The sequence below is a fragment of the Homo sapiens genome, chromosome 6 (genome assembly GCF_000001405.40).
Source record: "Homo sapiens chromosome 6, GRCh38.p14 Primary Assembly".
Taxonomy (NCBI): domain Eukaryota; kingdom Metazoa; phylum Chordata; class Mammalia; order Primates; family Hominidae; genus Homo; species Homo sapiens.
The window spans coordinates 57,275,570-57,302,719 of record NC_000006.12 but is presented as its reverse complement, the minus strand read 5'-3'; the positions used below and the strand labels follow the sequence as shown (position 1 = coordinate 57,302,719).

The window sequence follows — 27,150 nt, the reverse complement described above, 5'->3', positions numbered from 1 at the left end:
CTAGGCCTTTCGAGTGTTTATTCTGTGGAAGATAAACAACATTGTTATATAAGGCACTCTTCCAAATAGCTTAAGGTTGTTTAGAACATCCATTAACCCTAATGGAGTTACAAAATATTAAGGCAGAAAAATATGCTTTAGTAGTTATGCCTTTGAGAGGCTAGAGGCTAAATACATAAAATGTCTTAGTGATGACATTTTATATATTTATTTCTTAACCATAAGTGGATAACCACATAATTTTCTTATATTTGTTGGACACCTAATTTTTAATGTACAATTTAAGACTCAACAACCCAGCACTCAGTTAAACCCATGGAAAAGTGCTGGGGAAAACACTGAAAAGTCAAAAATGCCTTCCAATGATTCAAGTATGTACTTAAATGCAGCACTTAAAGAGTCAACAGTTAAATAACCTGGAATGACTCTATCTATCTCTCTATCCATATTCAAACTTTTATATATTTTTTCAAATGTAACTCTGCTCAAAAACTAAATTAATAACAAAATTACTTAGCAGATATTAATATTTAAAATGTGTTTCTTTTCCTAAAATATTTTATATTTTCAGCATAAAAGGCACAGGTGAGGCAGTATTTCATATTTGGGGGCTCAAATTTGGAAGTGAAACAGTTTAAATTGGAAAGCAATAATTTTGTGACCCCTAAGAGTGAGACTGAAAGTTCTGTCTTAGCTTTTGGCCTCCCAGCCAGTAAATAGGAATGTCTTCTGAAGTGCCTATCCTGAATAAGTGCCATGGAGAAAGCAAAGAAAAGCAGAACCAGAGTTACATCACATTCAGTCTGAACTCATTCTTGACTTCAACACTCATAGAATTAATAATCTGCAGGTTTATTGTTAGGTATATTTCTCCCATTCTTTTTCTGTTGTTGTTATTGAGACAGAGTCTTGCCCTGTCGCCCAGGCTAGAGTGCAGTAGAACAATCTTGGCTTACTGCAACCTCAACCTCCCAGCTTCAAGTGATTCTCACGCTCAGCCACCAGCCACCAAGTAGCTAGCATTACAGGCATGCACCACCATGCCTTGCTAATTCGTTTTTTGTGTGCGTGTGTATTTTTGGTAGAGATGGGGTTTCACCATGTTGGCCAGGCTGGTCTCAAACTCCTGACCTCAAGTGATCCGCCTGCCTTGGCCTCCCAAAGTGCTGAGATTACAGGCGTGAGCCACTGCACCCAGACTCTCCTATTCTTTTGTTTGTTTGTTTGTTTTTGAGATGGAATTTTGCTCTTGCTGCCCAGGCTGGAGTGCAATGGTGTGATCTTGGCTCACCGCAACCTCCGCCTCCTGGGTTCAAGCAATTCTCCTGCCGCAGCCTACCGAGTAGCTGGGATTACAGGCATGGGCCACCACGCCCAGCTAATTTTGTATTTTTAATAGAGATGGGGTTTCTCCATGTTGGTCACGCTGGTCTCAAACTCCCGACCTCAGGTGATCTACCCGCCGTGACCTCCCAAAGTCCTGGGATAACAGGCATAACCCACCACACCCAGCTGACTCTCCCATTCTTAAGACTACCATACTTGACTATGATTTGAGCTCAGGGCCAACCTGGGTTTCAGCTCTGACTGACAACAGTCTTTCAACAGGTAGGAAGGATAATAAAAGAAGAAAAAAGGTCCTATCCACACTAGGTATGGAAGCAGTGGCATCCTGTTCTTAGGACCGTCAGATCTTACTTCTGTTTTTACAACAAAGACCTTTAAGCAAAAATAAATAAATAGCCCTAAAGCATCATGTGTTTGAAATCAGTTACCTATTTCTCCAAAATCTCCTTCTCTCACAGCAACATTACTATTAGGATGGAAAATTTAACTGGCAACTTTCCCTATCCCTTTTTGGTAAGAGGGAAACCTTTTGAATCAAGATGCTTTAATAAAGAAATAAAGGTACTTCTTGATCCGCCTGCCTCGGCCTCCCAAAGTGCTGGGATTACAGGTGTGAGCCACTGCACCCGGCCGGGGACTGTTGTTTCTAAAGGCCAAACCAGAACTACGCTAGTAGAGAAAATAGCAACCCAAGTTTAAACTATGATTTATTAAAGAAAAATTAATGTCTAACTTTGAAAAATGTGGTCATTTGAGTCAACTAATAAAGAAGCCAACAGCCTCATCATTCTTACCTATGGGAAGATTGAGTTCAAACTAGAAGGCACACAGTAAACCATACTCAAGGGTCTGGAGCCCATCCACTACCCGATTTTCAGATCCCTCAACATGTACACATGCGTGCACACACACACGCACATACACACACACGAGCTCATACAGGCACACGAGACAGGACAGCAATGAACAGCAAGTATCCTTGCCCACTCAGAGCTGAAGCCCAGGGTGTTTATTCTATTCTAGATCTGCTCTCATGCAGAGGAGCTGAAGGTTCTCAAGAGGGGCTAAAGTTCCTGGACTAAGATACTTGAAGCCCCAGGTGCTTGTGAGGACAGAGGGAGTATAAGGTGCAGATGCAACTATAAGGGCTGAAAAGCCAAGTCCAAAATGGACAATGCATCTGCAGGCCTTGGCTTCTGATGCAGGGAAAGTCCAAGAGGGCTTAAACTTCAACACTTGTCCCTCCCATATTGTAAGTTATTTTTGAAATTACCCTTAGCCTTCAGTAAATAATTTCATATAGATGTATAGAGTAAACACAGCGATGAAAAGTTGGGGGGTCCCATGGGAGGGTGTCTGCTCCATTTCTCTCTCCCCAGGTTTTAGCAGACAAAGAACGTCAATCCTTCTGTGGATTTGCCAAGTGGTGCTTGGCAAAAGAAAGAGACTCATATGCTAAACCACCACCTCCACTGCCTGCAGAATAAATTAAACCCCTCTGCCCCTGAGGAGCACTTCCATTTATGTATTTATTATTCCAGCAAGGTTCTGCTACTTTAAAGACACACCCTCAACTTAGGTAAAATCACTGAACAGTAAATCAGAAAATGTAAGAGAAAAGAAGTGGTAAATAGATTCTCAGCTCTCCTCTCTATATCCAAGTATGAATATGCTGGCTCATCTGTCTCCTATATCTCCTCACTTTAATTAACTCCAAAATAATCAGGCTCAATTCTTCATTGGTTTCAAAATGAGTATCTGTCCATTGATTCATTTAACAAAAAATTGTTGGATGCCGAGCATAGGGTGGACTGGAAAAGAAGGCAAGATTGGATACAAGGAGCTCAGGAAGTTATCACTTCGGACATTTTAGTCCAGGACAATTCCTAAATGCTGACCCTAGAACCATTGATGGCATAGGGTCAGTCTGCTTAAAAGGAGAAAAAGAAAGAACCATGGGTATAGAAATGTAACACAATGCAAGGTTGGGAAAGACCTTTTTTCTGAGAATATGTCCTTTTTTTGTTAAAATGTCCTTTCTTTTATTCATATGAAATGGTATAGTAAGGAGATTTTTTTTATTTTATCAAGTTGAAAATTCTATCAGTTAATCAAACTTTTTAGTTTCATAAAATCATAAAATTTGGAAACCACTCATCGAGATAATACACATTAAAGCCCCAAATAAACCTTAGCATTTCATAATAGATTATTGTTTATAAAGGGCATGTGCATTATCTTACTGGACTCCTACCTTCCCCTCAAACACACACACACACACAGAAAAAGAGAGAGAGAGACAGAGAGAAAGAGAGAGAGAAATTCAGGCACAGAGAGAATCGTCCACAGTAGTAGGGCTAGTAAGTACAGAGGAAAGATGAAACCTGAGGCCTTTAGATTTGAATCCTAGTGTAAGAAATAGTGTGAAGTTATAATTGGCAGGGCTTGGTGACAGATGGAATAAGGGAGAATAGGGTGGGGGAGGCAGGAAAAGCAAGGCCGGCAGAGAGGAGAATGCAGAATCAAAATGATTCAGATTGTGTTTGTTTTAGGTTTGGTTTTCTCCTATAACTGCTTCATTCTAAAATGCATTTTCTTTATGTTATTTTAAATTATGTAGCAGCACATTCTTTTGGGTTTGTCATATTACACAAATGAAAATAAATTAGTAAGATAATAATTTTTATTATTTAAAGGAAGAAAATCCTCCTCATAATATGGAGGGAGAGGGGAATGAAGGGGAATCCACCACTTTATATGAGGGTCCAATTTTGTAGCTGTTAAAATTTTGCTCTCCATTGTGACATGCAACCCCCTTCATTTCTGCCCCGAGCCCTGCTTCCCAGGGCCATCCCCCGAAGGCCCCACCTGTGCCCAGCCTTCCCAAGCTTCCACTCCTCATCTCTTTGTTCTCGTCATTCCCTCAGCACAGTGTACCAGTCTGTGAATTGATGTTTTTTTTAAAAAACTAATTTCTAAAGTTTATTTTTTGTTGTTGTTTTGTTTTGTTTTGAGACAGAGTCTCACCCTGTGGTCCAGGATGGAGTGCAATGGCGCAATCTTGGCTCACTGCAACCTCCACCTCCCGGGTTCAAGCAATTCTCCTGCCTGAGCCTCCCGAGTAGCTGGGACTACAGGTGCCCGCCACCATGCCCGGTTAATTTTTTGTATCTTTAGTAGAGACGGGGTTTCGCCACATTGGCCCTGCTGGTCTCGAACTCCTGACCTCTTGATCTGCCCACCTCGGCTTCCCAAAGTGCTGGGACTACAGGCATGAGCCACGGCACCAGACCAAATGTCTAAAGTTTTTATTACTCTTCACTTCAGAATAATTTCAGGTGTATAAAAAGTGAGAAGTAACATCAAAAATTACCTATCGACCTTCAGCTATCCCCAAAGACATTGTCCCACTGATGTCTTTTTTTCTGATCCATGATCCCGCGTTGCATTTAGTCGTCATGGTTTCTCAGTCTCCTTTGTCTGGGATAGTTCTTGAGCCTTGCTTTGTCTTTCATGTCCCTGCTATTTTTGAAGATTACTAGTCAGTCATTCTGTAGACTGCCTATGTTTCCTCATGATTAAATTCAGACTGTGCATTTTTGGCAGAATTATGTCCTCCCAAGAGAAGATGTTGTGCCTTTCTCAGTACATGTATTAGGAGACATATGGTGCTGGAACATCTCACTACTGGTAATGATAACTTCTGTCATTTGGTTAAGATGCTATCTGCTAGGTTTCTCCACTGAAAAGTTTCTATTTTTCCGTTTATAATCTGTGACTATCTTGAGGGGACATATTCAAGGCTATGTAAATATCCTGTTTCTCATCATGTGTTAGCATGATGTTAGTAGCCATTAGTGATTCTTGATTGAAACAATTATTAATGTGATGTTTGCCAAATGATATTTTTCTATTTCCTTTTTTTTAGACAGAGTCTTGCTCTGTCACCCAGGCTGAAGTGCAGTAACACAATCTTGATCTCGGCTCACTGCAACCTTCACCTCCCAGGTTCAAGCGATTCTCCTGCCTCAGCCTCCCGAGTAGCTGGGATTACAGGCACCCGCCACCATGCCCGGCTAATTTTTGTATTTTTAGTGGAGGCAGGGTTTCGCCATGTTAGCCAGGCTGGTCTCAAACTCCTGACCTCAAGTGATCCACCCGCCTCAACCTCCCAAAGTGCTGGGATTACAGGCGTGAGCCACTGCACTCGATATTTTTCTATTTCCGTCACTTCTTCTCTATTTGTGAATTAGAATTCTACTGTTAAAAAAAAGAGAGCATGTTCCCCTCTTCCACCACTTATTTATTTATTATTTATTCAATTGTTTGTATCAGTGAACTCATGGAAACTTATTTTATTCTATAGAGTATGGTCCATTACTCTCCTTATGTATTATTTTGTTTAAATTATGCCCAATTTTACTACTGGGAGTTCCCTCAGGTGGCTCCTGTATCCTGTCAACATGTCCCCATCTGTTTTTGAGCACCTTCTTACTTCTCAACACCACACAATGTTACAGACCCATCTTTTACATTTCTTTCCCCTGCCCTGGTATCAAGCACTTTCCAAAGAGCCCTGGTTCTTTTTAATGAGAGAATGATATTTAGAAATTAGACCTGGTTGCTAGGCATGCTCGTTGGTACAGTAGTGTTGATTCCAGGCCCTCTCTGCATACAGATTTAGGAAACATATCCTAAGTATGCACAGACACGCACACACCACCACCACTACTGCTCCCCTACCACCACCCTACCACCACCACCACCCACTACCACCACCACCAAACCCCGCTACCACCACCATCATCACACCACCCTACCACCCTCTCTATATATACATACAATTTACAGTTTAATTTGTAGTTCAAATTAATAGCTTATATATCACAAGATTCATTCTACCCTTCTCCCTTTCCTTTTATTTATTCATTTTTGACTTTTTTTCTCCAACAGTGAGATCCCTGGCTCTCGGGAATTATTTACAGACCTTCTTTGTCTTTTAAAATCTAAATTAGTTTGCTCAATCCTATAATATATATATATAAAGTAGATGCAGAATTGCCATTTCATACCCCTGTGAAAAATAAACTTACTAGCTAAAGTACAATATTTGTATATAATTCTTTGTATACAGTTTTAGTCATGTGCATTTCTATTTGTGCACAGCTTTTTGTCTTTTAGCCATACAGCATGTAGTGAAAATATTATTTTCCAGAGTTATTGAGATTTGTTCTTTTTCTTCTCCACACCCTTCAGTGCGGTTGTTATTCATTCGTAATATGGTTAGGTTCATTTGTTATAGTTAGTATTCCATTTCAGGTCCCCTCTCCCCACCCATCCTGTTGGTTTTATTTATTGAATGTATGAAACATTGATATGGTTATAAATGTCACAAAATGGTTGTGACTATGGTTATAAAAGTCACAAAAATGCCATTCCCCCCTCATCCCTTCTATCCTATTCCCATCCCTCCATTCTTTTCATCCAGACTTAGAGGTTATTTTAATCCGGGTGTTGGGAAGGATGGTTTTTGCTCTTAGATATATGTTGTAGAACTGAGGAAGAAATGGAAGATTTGTAGGAAGAAGATGACACATTCAATTTTGTAAATGAGTTAAGGTGCCTGTGTAGCTGTTCATGTGGAGATAAGCATCAGGCAATTGGTAGTTAAGATTTGGCACTCAGGAGGGATTTAAAACAAGGAGTAAAACAGGCCCTCCTTTAGTACCTGGGAAATTTGTATTTTCTATCACCTCCATACATTTTATTTCTATTTCTCTAAAATCAGTCTGTTTTTAAGAACAAAGCTAAAAATTATGGTTCTAATTCATTAAACCACAACATGCTGTCAAGCAAATATACAAGCTGCCTTTTTTCATGCCAAATATTTCCTTTGACAGGAGAGAGATTTAGGACTCTTTCCATAGAATCAATGTAGATTGATTCACTCCAAAATAAACCAGTGGTTTGCTACTAGTTAAACCTCTAAGTACTGGAGCAGATATTCCCAATCAAATTTTTTTTTTTATAAAATTCAATTCATGCTGTTAAGAGATAATTTTTTGTCAGTATGTAGAAGTATTTAATATGTAGAAGTCATTATTGGCATCAAAATTGTTGGCAGCATTTTGTCACGTCAGCTGGGGTGGAGAAAAACAACTCTTGAATGGATGACTTTTTGGGTGAAGTTTTTTAAAACAAAGAGGTTTCTTCTTCTGATTCTAGAAGTAACATATCCTTATTATGAAAAATAAAGTTGGTATCAAAAATGTTACAAAGTACAGCTGGGCGTGGTGGCTAACGCCTGTAATTCCAGCATTTTGGGATGCTGAAGTCAGAAGTTGGAGACAAGCCTGGCCAACATGATGAAACCCCTTCTCTGCTAAAAATACAAAAATTAGTTAGGCATGGCAGCACGCCTGTAGTCCCAGCTACTGGGGAGGCTGAGGCAGGAGAACTGCTTGAAATCCGGGAGGTGGAGGTTGCAATGAGCTGAGATCGTGCCACTGCACTCCAGACTGGGTGACAGAGTGAGACTGTGTCTCAAAAAAAAAAAAAGTCATAAAATGAGTAAAAAATGGCAATATTATATCACTTAAAAATAACTACCATGAACACTTTTGTATTTTTCTCCATGTACTTTTTTCAATCAATATACATAAATGCTTAAAGTATATTTATATGTGTATGTATACATTTATATATGTGCTTAAATAAATATACATACACATATGTTATATATGTATATATTTATACATATACTTATTTAAATACATATATACACATACTTATACATAAATTTATGTATAAATATATACATGCACTTGTAATCATACTATATATACTGCTTTTGTTCTGTTTTGGTTTGGTTTTGGGTTTTCTTATTTTTTTGCAGACGGAGTCTCGCTCTGTTGCCCAGGCTGGAGTGCAGTAGCACGATCTCGGCTCACTGCAACCTCCACCTCCTGGGTTCAAGCGATTCTCCTGCCTTAACCTTCTGAGTAGCTGGGATTACAGGTGTGTACCATCACACCCGGCTAATTTTTTGTATTTTTAGTAGAGATGGGGTTTCACCATGTTGGCCAGGCTGGTCTCAAACTCCTGGCCTCATGTGATCCACCCACCTACGCCTCCCAAAGTGCTGAGAATACAGGCATGAGCCACCACGCCTGGCCTATATAAAGTGTTTGGAATCTACTTTTGTTCATTTCATGACATATTGTGGACCTCCTGCAATATCAATAAATACAGCACTACATCATCATTTTTTATAGTTCCATAGTATTCCATTGCATGACTATACCATAATATATTTAACTAATTTCTAATTATAAGACATTAAACTATGTCTAGATTTTCATTATCACAAACTACATTGCAAGGAATACCTTTTTTCTTTTTTTTAAATTATACTTTTAAGTTGTAGGGTGCATGTGCACAACATGCAGGTTTGTTAAATAGGTATACATGTGCCATGTTGGTTTGCTGCACCCATCAGCTTGTCATTTACATATCCCTCCCCCAGACCCCCACCCCCCAACAGGCCCCAGTGTGTGACATTCCCCACCCTGTGTCCATTTGTTCTCATTGTCCAATTCCCACCTATGACTGGGAACATGCAGTGTTAGGTTTTCTGTCCTTTTGATAGTTTGCTGAGAATGATGGTTTCCAGCTTCACCCATGTCGCTGCAAAGGACATGAACTCATCCCTTTTTATGGCTGCATAGTATTCCATGGTGTATATGTGCCACATTTTCTTAATCCAGTCTATCATTGATGGACATGTGGGTTAGTTCCAAGTCTTTGCTATTGTGAATAGTGCCACAATAAATATACATGTGAATGTGTCTTTATATTAGAATGATTTATAATCCTTTGGGTATATACCCAGTAATGGGATGGCTGGGTCAAATCGTATTTCTAGTTCTAGATCCTTGAGGAATTGCCACACTGTCTTCCACAATGGTTGAACTAATTTACACTCCCACCAACAGTGTAAAAGCATTCCTATTTCTCCACATCCTCTACAGCATCTATTGTTTCCTGACTTTTTCATGATTGCCATTCTAACAGGCGTGAGATGGTATCTCACTGTGGTTTTGATTTGCATTTCTCTAATGAGCAGTGACGATGAGTATTTCTTCATATGTCTGTTGCCTGCATAAATATCTTCTTTTGAGAAGTGTCTGTTCATATCCTTTGCCCACGTTTTGATGGGGTTGTTTTTTTCTTGTAAATTTGTTTAAGTTCTTTGTAGATTCTGGATATTAGCCCTTTGTCGGATGGGTAGATTGCAAAAATTTTCTCCCATTCTGTAGGTTGCCTGTTCACTCTGATGATAGTTTCTTTTGCTGTGCAGAAGCTCTTTAGTTTAATTAGATCCCATTTGTCAATTTTGGCTTTTGTTGCCATTGCTTTTGGTGTTTTCATCATGAAGTCTTTACCCATGCCTATGTCCTGAATGGTATTGCCTAGGTTTTCTTCTAGGGTTTTTACGGTTTTAGGTCTAACATTTAAGTCTTTAATCCACTGTGAGTTAATTTTTCTATAAGGTGTAAGGAAGGGATCCAGTTTCAGCTTTCTACATATAACTAGCCAGTTTTCCCAGCACCATTTATTAAATAGGGAACCCTTTCCCCATTGCTTGTTTTTGTCAGGTTTGTTAAAGATCAGATGGCTGTAGATGTGTGGTGTTATTTCGGAGGCCTCTATTCTGTTCTATATATCTGTTTTTGTACCAGTACCATGCTGTTTTGGTTACTGTAGCCTTCTAGTTTAGTTCGAAGTCAGGTAGCATGATGCCTCCAACTTTGTTCTTTTGGCTTGGGATTGTCTTGGCTATGTGGGCTCTTTTTTGATTCCAAATGAACTTTAAAGTAATATTTTCCAATTCTGTGAAGAAAGTCATTGGTAGCTTGATGGGGATGGCATTGAATCTATAAATTACCTTGGGCAGTATGGCCATTTTCATGATATTGATTCTTCCTATCCATGAGCATGGAATGTTCTTCCATTTGTTTGTGTCCTCTTTTATTTCATTGAGCAGTGGTTTGTAGTTGTCCTTGAAGAGGTCCTTCACATCCCTTGTAAGTTGTATTCCAAGATATTTTATTCTCTTTGTAGTAGTTGTGAATGGGAGTTCACTCATGATTTAGCTGTCCGTTTGTCTGTTATTGGTGTATAGGAATGCTTGTGATTTTTGCACATTGATTTTGTATCCTGAGACTTTGCTAAAGTTGCTTATCAGCTTAAGGAGATTTGGGGCCGAGACGATGGGGTTTTCTAAATATACAATCATGTCATCTGCAAACAGGGACAATTTGACTTCCTCTTTTCCTATTTGAATACCCTTTATTTCTTTCTCTTGCCTATTGCCCTGGCCAGAACTTCCAACCCTATGCAGAATACAAGTGGTAAGAGAGGGCATCCTTGTCTTGTGCTGGTTTTCAAAGGGAATGCTTCCAGTTTTTGCCTATTCAGTATGATATTGGCTATGGTTTTGTCATAAATAGCTCTTATTATTTTGAGATACGTCCCATCAATACCTAGTTTATTGCGAGTTTTTAGGATGAAGGGCTGTTGAATTTTATCGAAGGCCTTTTCTGCATCTATTGAGATAATCGTGTGGTTTTTGTCGTTGGTTCTGTTTATGTGATGGATTATGTTTATTGATTTGCATATGTTGAACCAGCCTTGCATCCCAGGGATGAAGCCAACTTGATCGTGGTGAATAAGCTTTTTGATGTGCTGCTGGATTCGGTTTGCCACTATTTTATTGAGGATTTTCGCATCGATGTTCATCAGGGATATTGGCCTGAAATTCTCTTTTTTTGTGTGTCTCTGTGAGGCTTTGGTATCAGGATGATGCTGGCCTCATGAAATGAGTTAGGGAGGATTCCCTCTTTTTCTATTGTTTGGAATAGTTTCAGAAGGAATGGTAGCAGCTCCTCTTTGTACCTCTGGTAGAATTCGGCTGTGAATCCATCTGGTCTTAGACTTTTTTTGGTTGGTAGGCTATTAATTATTGCTTCAATTTCAGAAGCTGTTGGTCTATTCAAAGATTCAACTTCTTCCTGGTTTAGTCTTGGGAGGGTGTATGGGTCCAGGAATTCATCCATTTCTTCTAGATTTTCTAGTTTATTTACATGGAGGTGTTTATAGTATTCTCTGATGGTAGTTTATATTTCTGTGGGATTGGTGGTGATAACCCCTTTATCATTTTTTATTGTGTCTACTTGATTCTTCTCTCTTATCTCCTTTATTAGTCTTGGTAGTGGTCTATCTATTTGTTGATCTTTTCAAAAACCAGCTCCTGGATTCATTGATTTTTTGAAGGGTTTTTTTGTGTCTCTATCTCCTTCAGTTCTGCTCTGATCTTAGTTATTTCTTGCCTTCTGCTACCTTTTAAATTTGTCTGCTCTTGCTTCTCTAGTTCTTTTAATTATGATGTTAGGGTGTCCATTTTAGATCTTTCCTGCTTTCTCTTGTGGGCATTTAGTGTTATAAATTTCCTCTACACACTGCTTTAAATGTGTCCCAGAGATTCTGGTATGTTGTGTCTTTGTTCGCATTGGTTTCAAAGAACATCTTTATTTCTGCCTTCGTTTTGTTATTTACCCAGCAGTCATTCAGGAGCTGGTTGTTCAGTTTCCATGTAGTTGTGTGGTTTTGGATGAGTTTCTTAATCCTGAGTTGTAATTTGATTGCACTGTGGTCTGAGAGACTGTTGTGATTTCTGTTCTTTTACATTTGCTGAGGAGTGCTTTACTTCCAATTACGTGGTCAATTTTAGAATAAGTGCGACGTGGTGCTGAGAAGAATGTATATTCTGTTGATTTGGGTTGGAGAGTTCTACAGATGTCTATTAGGTCCACTTGGTCCAGAGGTGAGTTCAAGTCCTGGATATCCTTGCTAACCTTCTGTCTCATTGATCTGTCTAATATTGACAGTGGGGTGTTAAAGTCTACCATGATTATTGTGTGCGAGTCTAAGTCTCTTTGTAGGTCTCTAAGGACTTGCTTGATGAATCTGGGTGTCCCTGTATTGGGTGCATATATATTTAGGATAGTTAGCTCTTCTTGTTGAATTGATCCCTTTACCATTATGTAATGGCCTTCTTTGTCTCTTTTGATCTTTGTTGGTTTTATCAGAGACTAAGTCTGTTTTATCAGAGACTGCAGTGGATTTAATAGAAGTCTGTTTTATCAGAGACTAAGATTGCAACCCCTGCTTTTTTTTTTTTTTTCTTTCTATTTGCTTGGTAGATCTTCCTCCATCCCTTTATTTGGAGCCTATGTGTGTGTTTGCATGTGAGACGGGTCTCCTGAATACAGCACACCGATGGGTCTTGACAATTTAGTTTGCCAGTCTGTGTCTTTTAACTGGGACATTTAGCCCATTTACATTTAAGGTTAATATTGTTATGTGTGAATTTGGTCCTGTCATTAAGATGTTAGCAGGTTATTTTGCCCGTTAATTGATGCAGTTTCTTCATAGCATTGATGGTCTTTACAATTTGGCATGTTTTTGTAGTGGGTGGTACCATTTGTTCCTTTCCATGTTCAGTGCTTCCTTCAGGAGCTCTTATAAGGCAGGCCTGGTGGTGACAAAATCTCTCAGCATTTGCTGGTCTGTAAAGGATTTTATTTCTCCTTCACTTATGAAGCTTAGTTTGGCTGGATATGAAATTCTGGGTTGAAAATTATTTTATTTAAGAATGTTGAATGTTGGCCCCTACTCTCTTCTGGCTTGTGGGGTTTCTGCCGAGAGATCAGCTGTTTGTCTGATGGGCTTCCCTTTGTGGGTAACCCGACCTTTCTCTCTGGCTGCCCTTAACATTTTTTCCTTCATTTCAACCTTGGTGAATCTGACAATTATGTGTCTTGGGGTTGCTCTTCTCGAGGAGTATCTTTGTGGTGTTCCCTGTATTTCCTGAATTTGAATGTTGGCCTGCCTTGCTAGGTTGGGGAAGTTCTCCTGCATGATATCCTGAAGAATGTTTTCTTACTTGGATCCATTCTCCCCGTCACTTTCAGGAACACCAATCAGATGTAGATTTGTTCTTTTCACATAGCCCCATATTTCTTGGAGGCTTTGTTCTTTTCTCTTCACTCTTTTTTCTCTAATCTTCTCTTCTTGCTTTATTTCATTAATTTGATCTTCGATCACTGATATCCTTTCTTCCACTTGGTCAAATCAGCTATTGAAGCTTGTGCATGCGTCACAAAGTTCTCGTGCTGTGGTTTTCAGCTCCATCAAGTCATTTAAGGCCTTCTCTAAACTGTTTATTCTAGTTAGCCACTCATCTAACCTTTTTTCGAGGTTTTTAGCTTCCTTGAGATGGGTTAGAACATGCTCCTTTAGCTCAGAGAAGTTTGTTATTACCGACCTTCTGAAGCCTACTTCTGTCAACTCATCAAACTCGTTCTCCATCCAGTTTTGTTCCCTTGCTGGCGAGGAGCTGTGATCCTTTGGAGGAGAAGAGGTGTGCTGTTTTTTGGAATTTTCAGCTTTTCTGCTCTGGTTTCTCCCCATCTTTGTTGTTTTATCTACCTTTGGTCTTTGACGTTGGTAACCTACAGATGGGGTTTTGGTGTGGATGTGCTTTTTGTTGATGTTGATGCTATTTCTTTCTGTTTGTTAGTTTTCATTCTAACAGTCAGGCCCCTCAGCTGCAGGTCTGTTGGAGTTTTCTGGAGGTCCACTCCAGACCTTATTTGCCTGGGTGTCACTAGCAGAGGCTGCAGAACAGTAAATATTGCTGCCTGATCCTTCCTCTGGAAGCTTTGTCCCAGAGGGGCCCCCTGTCTCTATGAGGTGTCTGTTGCCCCTATTGGGAGGTATCTCCCAGTCAGGCTACACGGGGGTCAGGGACCCACTTGAGGAGGCAGTCTGTCCATTCTCAAAGCTTGAACGCTGTGCCGGGAGAACTACTGCTCTCTTCAGAGCTGTCAGACCGGAATGTTTAGGTCTTCGGAAGCTGTCTGCTGCCTTTTGTTCTGATATGCCCTGCCCACAGAGGTGGAATCTAGAGAGGCAGTAGGCCTTGCTGAGCTGCAGTGGGCTCCACCCAGTTCAAGCTTCCCAGGCTCTTTGTTTACGCTGTGAGCACCAAACCGCCTATTCAAGCCTCAGCAATGGCAGACACCCCCTCCCCACGCCAAGCTGCAGTGTCGCAGGTTGATCACAGACTGCTGCGCTAACAGTGAACAAGGCTCCGTGGGAGTGGGACCTGGCGAGCCAGGCATGGAAGGGAATTTCCTGGTCTGCCAGTTGTGAAGACCATGGGAAAAGCACAGTATTTGAGCAGGAGTGTACCAATTCTCCAGGTATAGACTGTCACAGCTTCCCTTGACTAGGAACGGGAAATCCCTGGCCTCTTGTGCTTCCTGGGTGAGGCGACACCCTGCCCTGCTTCAGCTCACCCTCCGTGGGCTGCACCCACCATCCAACCAGTCCCAATGAGATGAACCACGTACTTCAGTTGGAAATGCAGAAATCACCCGTCTTCTGTGTCAATCTTGCTGGGAGCTGCAGACCAGATCTGTTCCTATTTAGCCATCTTGGAAGAATCTTGGAATATCTTTTTTTTTTTTTCATTTTACTTTAAGTTCTGGGATACATGTGCTGAACATGCAGCTTTGTTACACAGGTATACAGGTGCCATGGTGTTTTCCTGCACCTATCAACCCGTCACATAAGTTTTAAGCTCCACATGCATCAGGTATTTGTCTTAATGCTCTCCCTCCTCTTGCCCCCACCCCCTGACAGGCTCCAGTGTGTGATGGTCCCCTCCCTGTGTCCATGTGTTCTCATGGTTCAACTCCCACTTATGATTGAGAACATGCAGTGTTTGGTTTTCTGTTCCTGTGTTAGTTTTTTGAGGGTGATTGTTTCCAGCTTCATCCATGTCCCTGCAAAGGACATGAACTCATTCTTTTCTAGGGCTGCATAGTATTCCATAGTGTATATGTGCCACATTTTCTTTATCCACTCTGTCATTGATGGGCATTTGGGTTGGTTACAAGTCTTTGCTTATTGTAAATAGTGCTACAATAAACATACGTGTGCATGTGTCTTTATGGTAGAATGATTTACAATCCTTTGGGTATGTACCCAGTAATGGGATTGCTGGGTCAAATGGTATTTCTAGTTCTAGATCCTTCAGGAATCGCCACACTGTCTTCCACAATGGCTGAACTAATTTACACTCCTACCAACACCGTAAAAGCATTCCTATTTCTCCACATCCTCACCAGCATCTGTTGTTTCCAGACATTTTAACGATTACCATTCTAACAGGCAGGAGATGGCATCTCATTGTGGTTTTCATTTGCATTTCTCTAATGGCCAGTGATGATGAGCTTTTTTCCATATGTTTGTTGGCCACATAAATGTCTTCTTTTGAGAAGTGTCTGTTCACATCATCCTTTGCCCACTTTTTGATGGGGTTGTTTTTCTCTTGTAAATTTGTTTAAGTACCTTGTAGACTCTGGATATTAGATCTTTGTCAAATGCATAGATTGCAAAACTTTTCTCCCATTCTGTAGGTTGCCTGTTCACTCTGATGATAGTTTCTTTTGCTGAGCAGAAGCTTATTAGTTTATTTAGATCCCATTTTTCAATTTCGGCTTTTGTTGCCATTGCTTTGGGTGTTTTAGTCATGAAGTCTTTACCCATGCCTATGTCCTGAATGGTATTGCCTAGGTTTTCTTCTAGGGTTTTTATACTTTTAGGTTTTATGTTTAAGTCTTTAATCCACCTTGAGTTAATTTTTGTATAAGGTGTAAGGCATGGATCCAGTTTCTGTTTTCCGTATATGGCTAGCCAATTTTCCCAGCACCATTTATTAAATAGGGAATCTTTTCCCCATTGTTTATTTTTGTCAGGATTGTTGAAGATGAGACGGTTGTAGATGTGTGGTGTTACTTCTGGGGCCTCTGTTCTGTTCCATTTGTCTATATATCTGTTTTGGTACCAGTACTATGCTGTTTTGGTTACTGTAGCCTTGTAGTATAGTTTGAAGTCAGGTAGCATGATGCCTCCAGCTTTGTTCTTTTTGCTTAGCATTGTCTTGGCTATACGGGCTCTTTTTTGGTTTTATATGAAATGTAAAGTAGTTTTTTCTAGTTCTGCGAAGAAAGTCATTGGTAGCTTGATGGGGATAGCATTGAATCTATAAATTACTTTGGGAAGTATGGCCATTTTCACAATATTGATTCTTCCTATCCATGAGCATGGAATGTTTTTCCTTTTGTTCGTGTCCTGTCTTATTTCCTTGAGCAGTGGTTTCTAGTTTTCCTTGAAGACGTCCTTCATGTCCCTGGTAACTTGTATTCCTAGGTATTTTATTTTCTTTATAGCAATTGTGAATGGGAGTTCACTCATGATTTGGCTCTTTGTTTGTCTATTATTTGTGTATAGGAATGCTTGTGATTTTTGCACATTGATTTTGTATCCCAAGACTTTGCCAAAGCTCTTTATCAGCTTAAGGAGTTTTTGGGCTGAGACGATGGGGTTTTCTAAATATACAATCATGTCATCTGCAAACAGAGACAATTTGACTTCCTCTTCCTATTTGAATACCTTTATTTCTTTCTCTTGCCTGATTGCTCTGGCCAGAAATTCCAATACTATGTTGAATATGAGTGGTGAGAGAGGGCATCCTGTTCTTGTGACAGTTTTCAAAGCTTTTGCCCTTACAGTCTGATATTGTCTATGGTTTTGTCATATATAGCTCTTATTATTTTGAGATATGCTCCATCAATACCTAGTTTATTGCGAGTTTTTAGGAAAAAGCGTTGTTGAATTTTATCGAAGGCCTCTTCTGCATCTATCGAGATAATGATGTGGTTTTTGTCATTCGTTCTGTTTCTGTGATGGATTACGTTTATTGATTTGCATATGTTGAACCAGCCTTGCATCACAGGGATGAAGCCAACTTGATAGTGGTGGATAAGCTTTTTGATGTGCTGCTGGGTTTGGTTTGCCAGTATTTTATTGAGGATTTTCGCATCAGTGTTCATCTGGAATACTGGCCTGAAATTCTCTTTTTTTGTTGTGTCTGCCAGGTTTTGGAACCAGGATGATGCTGGCCTCATAAAATGAGTTAGGGAGGAGTCCCTCTTTTTTTGTTGTTTGGAATAGTTTCAGAAGGAATGGTACCAGCTGTCTTTATATCTCTGGTAGAATTCAGCTGTGAATCCGTCCAGTCCTGGACTTTTTTCTTCATTGGTAGGCTATTAGTTGCTGCCTCAATTTCAGAATTTGTTATTGGTCTATTCAGGGATTCGACTTCTTCCTGATTTAGTCTTGGGAGGGTGTATGTGTCCAGGAAATTATCGATTTCTTCTAGATTTTCTAGTTTATTTGCATAGAGGTGTTTATAGTATTCTCTGATGGTAGTTTGTATTTCTGTGGGGTCAGTGGTGATATCCCCTTTATCATTTTTTATTGTATCTATTTGATTCTTCTCTCTTCTTTATTAGTCTGGCTAGTGGTCTATATTTTTTGTTAATCTTTGCAAAATTCAGCTCCTGGGTTGCAATGAATATCTTTACATGTATATCCTTGTATGCTTGTCCAATTATTTCTTTGAATTGAAATTGCTGAGTCTAAAACTGCATGTTTAACACTGATGTATTTTGACAAATTTTCTTCCAGAAAAGTTGGACTATTTATTAAAAGTTAGTAATTTGTTACTTTTATGGAACGTCTTGATATTTACAATTCATTCATACTCAATATTTATTTTGCGTTGTTTCTGGTTAAAATTGGTTTACATATGGAAAAGTGAGATTAGGTAAATGAGGGGTGAGTGATGATGGAGAGAGACATTTTTCAGTCTATATATTTTGATATAATTTTAACTAGACAATAAAAGTATGTATGTTGAGTATGTATTGAGTAACTATGTATTACTTGAGTAATAAAAACAAATAAAAACTGTTTAAGATCAGAACATAGACTACATCTTCAACTTTTAACAACACATTTTAACAGTTTGATTAATAGCTTTTTGACCTGAATAGCGTACAAGCACATCTGCCAAAAGTTAAATGCAAAGACCAAACTTGGCAATTGTAGTGAAGTGCAGCTGGTTTGTCTTATCTGACATGCAAACATTTAAGTACAATAAATTTTACCCACAGACTTTACAATCTCTGCTAGATGAAATATTCTCCCAAGTAGAGACTCAACTCTCTCTCTTTCATGTTCTTCTTTCCCACAGAAAAAAGTTTGCTCTATGTTCTTTTTATCTTCATGAAACAAACTTCTGTGGTTCTGTTTAAGCCAGGATACTTATGGGGAGAGTGACCATATAATCTGTTGTCCAAATAAGCACACTTTTGAGAGTAAGAAATATACTATAATAATGATGCCGAGATTACAAGGGTGAGCTAGAACCATGTCATGCAAAGTTAATTAAATAATCACCCTACTTAAAAGGCTTTTCAACTACTGTGATTTTAGGAGTTAGCTTTTAAAAAAAAATCAGTATTAAATGATGACTAGGTACTTTAAGAGTCAGAAAGAATATATTACCTATAATTTAGGCCCCAAACGAGTTTGTCAGGCACTTGGGAAGACAGGATTCATGGCAATAAAAGACAATATGGGAAGCATCAAGAAGGCCAAACTCAACAAATAATACCAAATATTGTTTTGTAGATGCCTTACAAATCTTTCACATACTTAATCTATTTTTCTTCATAATGCTCAAGTGAAATCACATATTTTTATCTTTACTTTAGAGTTGAGGCTGAAAAAAAGTGTTAGCACTTTCCCAAAGCCACCGAGTTAATAAAAAATCTGACACGAAACCAAAAACTCTAACTTAACGCTATATTAATCTTCAGTATCTGCCACCTATATATGTGGTATAACTATATGGAGAAGTGCCTCTTTGAAATCAGGGAGTATTCAATGTTAATCTAATATTTTAAACTGTAACTGGAGTAGGAACAGAGCAGAGAGGTAGATTTGGAGGTTGAGACTAGGGAAGTCAAGAACATATGCCAAGTTCAGAAGTACAGGGGATATAAGAGGTCAACAAGAAGGCATGTAGTTACATGTCCAGATCCACAAACCACTAAGCCCTGGGGAAGAGAAGAAAGGCCACTCCCAACAAAGGCAATAATATGGGCAAAGATATGGTTGAATTGTTGATCATTTCATATGAGTGGCACTCAGAAAGCATGTGGGAGTATATTATAACAGAGAAATCAGATACTGAGATCTATATAAAACTGTATTTGAGGAAAATGTGTTGAGGCTATGAAATAAGAATCAAAACTGAGGAGGACTAGAGTAATAGCTGTGCCAATAAGGGGTAATTTTTTTAAAAAAAGCAAAACAATTAATGATGAGAAGAGTGAGAGTACTAGAAAAAAAGACTCCCAGATAGTTATGCCTGAGAGAATGCTGGTACATGACAGAAATGTGGAGGTGTATTGGGAAAGTCAGCTTATAATTCAGGTAAAGGAAGTACATTCGTTTAGTAGGACTGCCATAACAAAATACCACAGACTAGGTAGTTTAAACCACAGAAATTTATTTTCTTATGGTTCTGGAGGCCAGAAGTTCAAAGTCAAAGTGTTTGTAGGTTTGGTTTCTTTTGCACCCTCTCTCGTTAGCTTACAGATGGCTGTCTTCTCTCTTGTGTCTTCACATGGTCTTCCAACTGTGTGTGTCTGAGTCCTAATATCCTCTTTGCATAAAGACAATCAGCCATAAGACCTCATTTTACGTTTACCTTAATTACATCTTTAAAGACCCTATCTTCAAATACGGTCACATTCTGAGGTACTGGGAGTTAGGAATTCAACATATGAATTTGGTGGAGGGAGCAGGGAGACACAATTCAGCTCATAACAGGGAGAGACTAAGGGAGGGACTGTTTCAGTATTAGCTTTTTGGAATTAGCAATGAAAGTAGGTTACTGGGTAGAACCATTTAGGAAGCAGTTGGAGATACCCAACAGAATTTACGTACTAAAAGATCTTAGCTGAAGCTGTGAGACTCCATGACACCTCTAAAAGAAAAAGCATAGAGAATTAATAAATTCAAAGGAACAAATATTTGTTTAGCATCGGATAGTAAGGTGCTATGATCAGTACTGTGAAATACATAAGAAGGGAGAAGATATTCTCAAGAAATATACAAAATAATAAGAAATATACACAGACACAACTATGCAAATGACAGAGGATGAAAATGGCCCCAAAAGAGGACAGATAAGTGCTAAGAGTACTTAGAGAAAGACGAGGTCACATTGGATGTTGAAAAGGAACACACAGAGGGGCTAGGACTGAGCCTCAGGGATAATTTGTTTCCCTCATTAACGGTGACCTTTGCCAGCACATGGTATTTTCCTTGGTCAATCTGGAAGGACCAAGTGATTCAACCCAGGACTTTAGAATTGAGCATAAATCATTTAGTACTGGCTTTAAGCAATGTCAGTAAATGCTGGATCAGACTTAGGGTTAAAACTGGTCAAGATCACAAAAAACTCAGTTGTATGGCTTTTTTTAATAAACATAAGGAGAAATGCCTGCAGATCACTTATCAATATCTTAGTGAGTGAGAATTCATCTGGAATTAGTACACACCAGCTGCTCCCACATGCAGGCTAAGCTGTGGGGTCCTGAAAGTCCCATCTGCCCAGGAGCACCTCTCTGTGTAGCATGCTACTTTTGTCCAGAATTCCCACTCCTCCAGGGTAATGCACTGTGACTCCAGGAGGCTCTTATTCAAGTACAGTTGGGTTTCAGGTTGGGCATGTCTATGAACTCATAGTACTATGGGGTCAGTTTTTCAGTTTAGTTAGTGGTCATTTTAGAGTATCAGTGAAAATATGATAGAGGTAAATATATTTTGATACTGTGATGGGAAAGATAGAAAGTTTGTTGTTAGATGCGGCTGAGGATGTGGAGAAACGGGAACCCTCATACACTGTTGGTGGGAATGTAAACTAGTACCCACTATGGAGAACAGTATGGAGTTTCCTCAAAAAACTAAAACCTGAAAACAGAACGTGATCCAGCAATTCCACTGCTGGGTATATATACAAAAGAAAGGAAATGAATATATGGAAGAGATATCTGCACTCCTATGTTTATTGCATCACTATTCACAATAGCCGGGGAATGGAATCAACCAAAGTACTCATCAATGGATGAATAGATAAAAGAAAACTGGTACATATTGAATGCTATTCAGTCACAGAAAGGAATGAAATCTTGTCATTTGCAGCAACTGCAACATTTGTATTTGGAACTGGAGGCCATGATGTTAAGTGAAATAACACAAGCACAGAAAGACAAAAGACAAATATTTCATGTTCTCACTCATATGCAGGAGCTAAAAAAGTGGATCTCATCAAGATAGAGAGTAGACTGTGGTTAGCAGAGGCCAGGAGGGATGGGGGAAGAGAGAGATAAAGGGAAAAAAGAATATAAATGTATTTAATAACACTGAAATATACACCTAAAAATGGTAAAGGTGGTAAATTATATATGGATATTTTACCTCAATGAAAATTTTTTTTAAAAAAAAAGATAGTACATGCTGGGTATGGTGGCTCACGCCTGTAATCCCAGCACTTTGGGAGGCCGAGGCAGGCAGATCATGAGGTCAGGAGTTCGAGACCAGCCGACCAATATGGTGAAACCCCGTTTCTACTAAAACTACAAAGATTAGCCAGGCGTGGTAGCACACGCCTGTAATCCCAGCTACTCAGGAGGCTGAGGCCGGAGAATCGCTTGAACCTGGGAGGCGGAGGTTGCAGTGAGCCAAGACCATGCCGTTGCACTCCAGCCTGGGTGACAGAGTGAGACTCCATCTCAAAAAAAAACAAGAAAGAAAGTACTTGGTTAACATCCTGGGAAGCTGGGGGAAGGACCTACAGGAACTGTCTGCATTGTCTTTCTAACTCTTCTGTTAGTCTAAAATTATTTCAAAATTAAAAGTTTATTTAAAAAAAAAAGAATACAAAGTATGGAAATGCCCAGGAAAGAACGTTAATGAAAAAGCAAATGTAAAGTTGTATAAACAAAGTGACCACAAACATATAAAAAGATATATACCAAATATACCAAAATTGGCAGTGGTTATTTCTGTGTGGAGAAATTAAAGGTGACATATTTTCTCTTTATGCCTTTCTGTCACCTCCAAATTTTCTTCAATGAGAATTTTTTAATTTTACAGGAGAAAAAATAAAAACGAAAACAAAAACTATTTGAAAGTGCTCACTGCCTTCCTCAGGCTCCCTCAGTATCCCTAAGGACTGTTGAGGGTGTCCAGATTTCTTAGCATGGCAAACAAGGGGCCTCATGTTATCTGGTCTGTCTCTCTCTTCAGCCTCATCTCTTGTCCTCTTCCCTTCTCATTATTATGAGCTACTTACAGGCCCCAAACTTACTTCATGGTATAGGGTGTCTTCAGTCTGGAAATTCCTCCCCCAAATCTTCCCCTTGTTAAGGACTATCCCTTAGGACTCAGCCACAGCCTCACTCAACAGGACTTCCCTGCCTCCTCTCTACCCCATGCTACCATAGTACCATACTTTGGCTGCTTTTTGCATTTATCACACATTAATCTGTCTCACCCACTTGTCTGTGATTCCCTTGAGCACAGGGTCTCTGTGTTATTATCCAGGCTTTGGAGCCTGGCACAGTGCTAGCACATAGTAGAACCTCCACCACTTTTTAATGAGACTAATTTCATTCACTATAATCATTGTTTCTCCTGTAGCGCCGCCATCACCACCTTCCCCTAACATCCCTAGATGCAAAGAGAAACTTGCCACAATCTAGTCATATAGTTCTCCAAAACAGAGGGTGACTGGAGCCTGCCTGGGGTAGGTGGTTCCAGCAGTCATGAGTTCCTGGAAATTCTCCCAGGGACACTGCATTGACGGATCCACACAAGGTTTCTCTGAAAAAAGCTGACAGAAGCTTCTCTAGTAGTTCCTGAAGCTGGTACCCTACAATGTAAAAGCAAACTACTCCATATGAGAATTGAAAAGGGTGTGAAGCAGAAATTTCCTTTTCCTCTCAGACTTAGGGAATGCAGTTTCCATAAGTTAAAAAAAGAAAAAAGCAGTAAAGTAAGCTGTAAGATTTTCCAGCTCTAATGTGTGGTTTCCCTCATATAAAACTTTCATAAGCTCAAGTCCTTCCTTAAGACAGGACTCGGAAACATGATTTTAGAAGCCAAACTTCTAGTACTACTCCCTCAATGAATTGGGTTTAGGGTTTCACAGACCGTAATTTCACCCCTTTGGGTAGGAGAATGAACACTATAAGCAGTCACAATCTACTGCCTTCAATGGGTGCTTCAGAGACTGTACTCCTAGTATCTATCACAGTGTCATAAAATAAGCATAACAGAATATTTGAATGAACAAATAGTCTTTTTTTCTTATTTGCTTCATTGTTTCAGTATAATTCTCACATAGGAAAAAACTGTTCCACAGATTTCCAGAGTAATGTTGATGGGGAAGATCTCCTAGTCTATATCTTTTTTTCTCCCTAGTCTGTAGCTTTGTTCATAAAAACTATACTCTCTTTTACCTCCCCAACTGCTGGACACGCTTTCCCTCCTCTTTCATGGATCCCTTCCTGGCTGAAGCCACTCCCTCATCCATAACTCCTTTTTTCTCTACTGTACTCTTCATGCCTTGGAAAACATGAAGAAGAAAAAAAAAACACATTGTGTCCTGATTGTGTATTATATTGTGTCTCTCAGAATGTCACAGATATTTTGGTGTTTTTGTCAATAAGACATTTCGGGACATAGCTCCTGTCAAAACATTAAAGTTGTAAATTCGATTATAAGAATTGTATTTATAAAATAATTTTCAACAGAATAGTGTGTTATTTAAAATAATAAAATGGAGGCAATGGAATGAATTTCTAATAGCAACAGACTGGTGGTAGGAGGACACATGGAAGGGAAGAGAGATGGTTTTGGATAACAGACTTCCTAGTGCCCTAGAGCATAAGGCTACCTTTAGGTATATGCTCCAAAGGTAGAATTTTTTTTTTTAAACAGTCTCGCTCTATCACCCAGGCTGTAGTGCAGAGGTGCAATCTCGGCTCACTGCAATCTCCACCTCCCATGTTCAAGTGATTCTCCTGCCTCAGCCTCCCGAGTAGCTGGGATTACAGGCACCCACTACCACACCCGGCTAATTTTTGTATTTTTGGTAGAGACAGGGTTTCACCATGTTGGCCAGGATGGTCTCAAACTCTCAACTTGAAGTGATCTGCCCATCTCAGGCTCCCAAATTGCTGGGATTATAGGCATGAGCTACCGTGCCCAGCTCAAACACAGAATCTTTTTTTGTTTTGTTTTGTTTTGTTGTTGTTTGTTTGTTTGTTTTTCTGAGATAGAATCTCGCTCTGTCACCCAGGCTGGAGCGCAGTGGCACGATCTCGGCTCACTGCAAGCTCCACCTCCCGGGTTCACGCCATCCTCCTGCCTCAGCCTCCTGAGTAGCTGGGACTACAGGTGCCCGCCACCACACCTGGCTAATTTTTGTTGTATTTTTTTAGTAGAGATGGGGTTTCACCATGTTAGCCAGGATGGTCTCGATCTCCTGACCTTGTGATCCACCCGCCTTGGCCTCCCAAATTGCTGGGATTACAGGCATGAAGCCACCGCGCCTGGCCAGAATCTTTAATCTATGCTAATGAACTGACACTGATTCTGAATTCACATCGTGGTTCTCTGAAATCAACTCATTTTCCAAGCAGAAGCAGGCTCCAACACTCCCTACCACCCCCCGGCTTCTGCTGTGTTCCCAAGGTACTCTGCTTGCCTCCAACACATTTAACTTTAAATGGGTAACTGCATATAAGGCTTTTCCCACTGCATTGTAAGTTCCTTGAAGACAGGGACTCATTCCATCTCCCCAGCATCCAGCATTATTTGACATATATGAAGTGTTCAATATATATTTGTAGAGTAAATAAATCTCTGTCCTTCCCTGAATGCCTAGCTAGGAAGTTCACACAAACAGGCTAGATACAGAATTTGCCTGCCAGACACCTAAGCTCATGAGGGCAGATTTTGGGCTGATTTGTTCACTGCTGTGTCCTAGAACAGTGCAGAGCACATAAATATACATTGAAGGAATGGATGGACCTGCCCCTTTTGAAAGGATACCTTCCCATCCCATGTCATCTGATTTTCCCAGCAAACACACTCTCTGACCTCAGGAATGCCTCTCAGCATTCCCTCTTCTTGTACTGAGTCTCTCTGATGGTAACTTCTTGCCCAAAACAACACACCCACTGGAACTCACAGGCCTGCTGGTTCCTATTCTTTGTCCTTCCAAGGTGGTCTTCTCCTTCTTCCTCTTCTCCTCTTCCTCTTCCTCCTCTCCTTTTTCTTATTCTCCCCCATGCTTCTTTGACTTATTTGAGACACGCAAAAAAAAAATCTTACATTTCATATATCATTATATCTTTTTTTTTTTGAGGCAGGGTCTCAGTTGGTCACCCAGGCTGGAGTGCAGTGGCGCAACCCTGGTTCATGGCAGCCTCGACCTCCTGGGCTCAAGCCATTCTCCCACCTGAGCCCCCCAAATACATGCATGCACCACCACGCCCAGCTAATTTTTTTCTATTTTCTTTTTTTAGAGATGGGTTTCACCATGTTGCTCAGGCTGGTCTCAAACTTCTGAGCACAAGCAATCTGCCTGTTTTGGCCTCCCAAATATATCATTACATCTTAATGATCATTTCTTCATCTACCATTCAGCTTACAAATTAAGATGGTACCATTAAAATTGAAGCTCCTATATATGTCTTTCCACCCATGCTTTTCCCTTACTAAAAGTAACCACTACCTTTTCTTTTTTACTATTATATATGTATTTACATACATACATATGTATGCATGTATATATATATATATATGTAAATGGTATTGTTTTATAATTTTTAACTTTTGTTTTTGGTTTATTTTATTTTATTTGAGACAGTCTCACTCTGTTGCCCAGGCTGGAGTACAGTGGCATGATCTCAGCTCACTGCAACCCTCTGCATCCCGGGTTCACACAATTCTCATGCCTCCGCCTCCCAAGTAGCTGGGATTACAGACGTGAGCCACCACACCCAGCTAATTTTTGTGTTTTTAGTAGAGACTGGGTTTCACTATGTTGGCCAGGCTGGTCTTGAACTCCCAACCTCAGCTGATCCACCCACCTTGGCCTCCCAAAGTGCTGGGATTACAGGTGTGAGCCACTGCGCCTGGCCCAGTTTTTAACTTTTTATTAGTTATATAATATTCTAGCATGCTACTGCTACTTGCTTATTTTCTTTCTTTGTTCAGTTCTATATTTTGGAGATTTATCCATGTGGAAACATGGAGCTCCAGTTCCTTCCTCGTCACTGCTATACAATATTTCACTGTATAAAATATGACAACTGATTAATTCATTTTGCTACTAATTGATGTATAGATAGTTTTGCATTTTTGCTATTATGAACACCACTGCTATGGACGTTTCTGTTACCCGTTTGGTGGGATTGAAGGAGTTCCAGTTGGCCCACTGGGAGAAAGTCCAATTCTACTTTTTCATGAGGACTCCAACAGAGCCAGCACTCTCCAGCCACTGTAGGCCCAAGAACTCAATGGCTCAGGAGACGACAGCTGTGTTAGGCTGGCAATGAAAGTGGAGGAAATGCATTTAAGTTGCTTCCTTCCAGAAATTCTGTTTAAAGTCTTGACTTAAAGATGACACGAAATTGTCCTGTTATGTTTCTCTAGCAGCCTGGCAGTCCAAGTGTAAGG

The 27,150-nt window shown here is 39.9% G+C and overlaps 1 protein-coding gene across 1 annotated transcript in view; it reads right to left on the bottom strand.

The window, feature by feature from the left end:
- PRIM2 (DNA primase subunit 2) overlaps positions 1-27,150 on the bottom strand; it is a 425,311-nt gene that overhangs the window by 344,131 nt on the left and 54,030 nt on the right. The gene's annotated exons all lie outside the window — the stretch shown is intronic.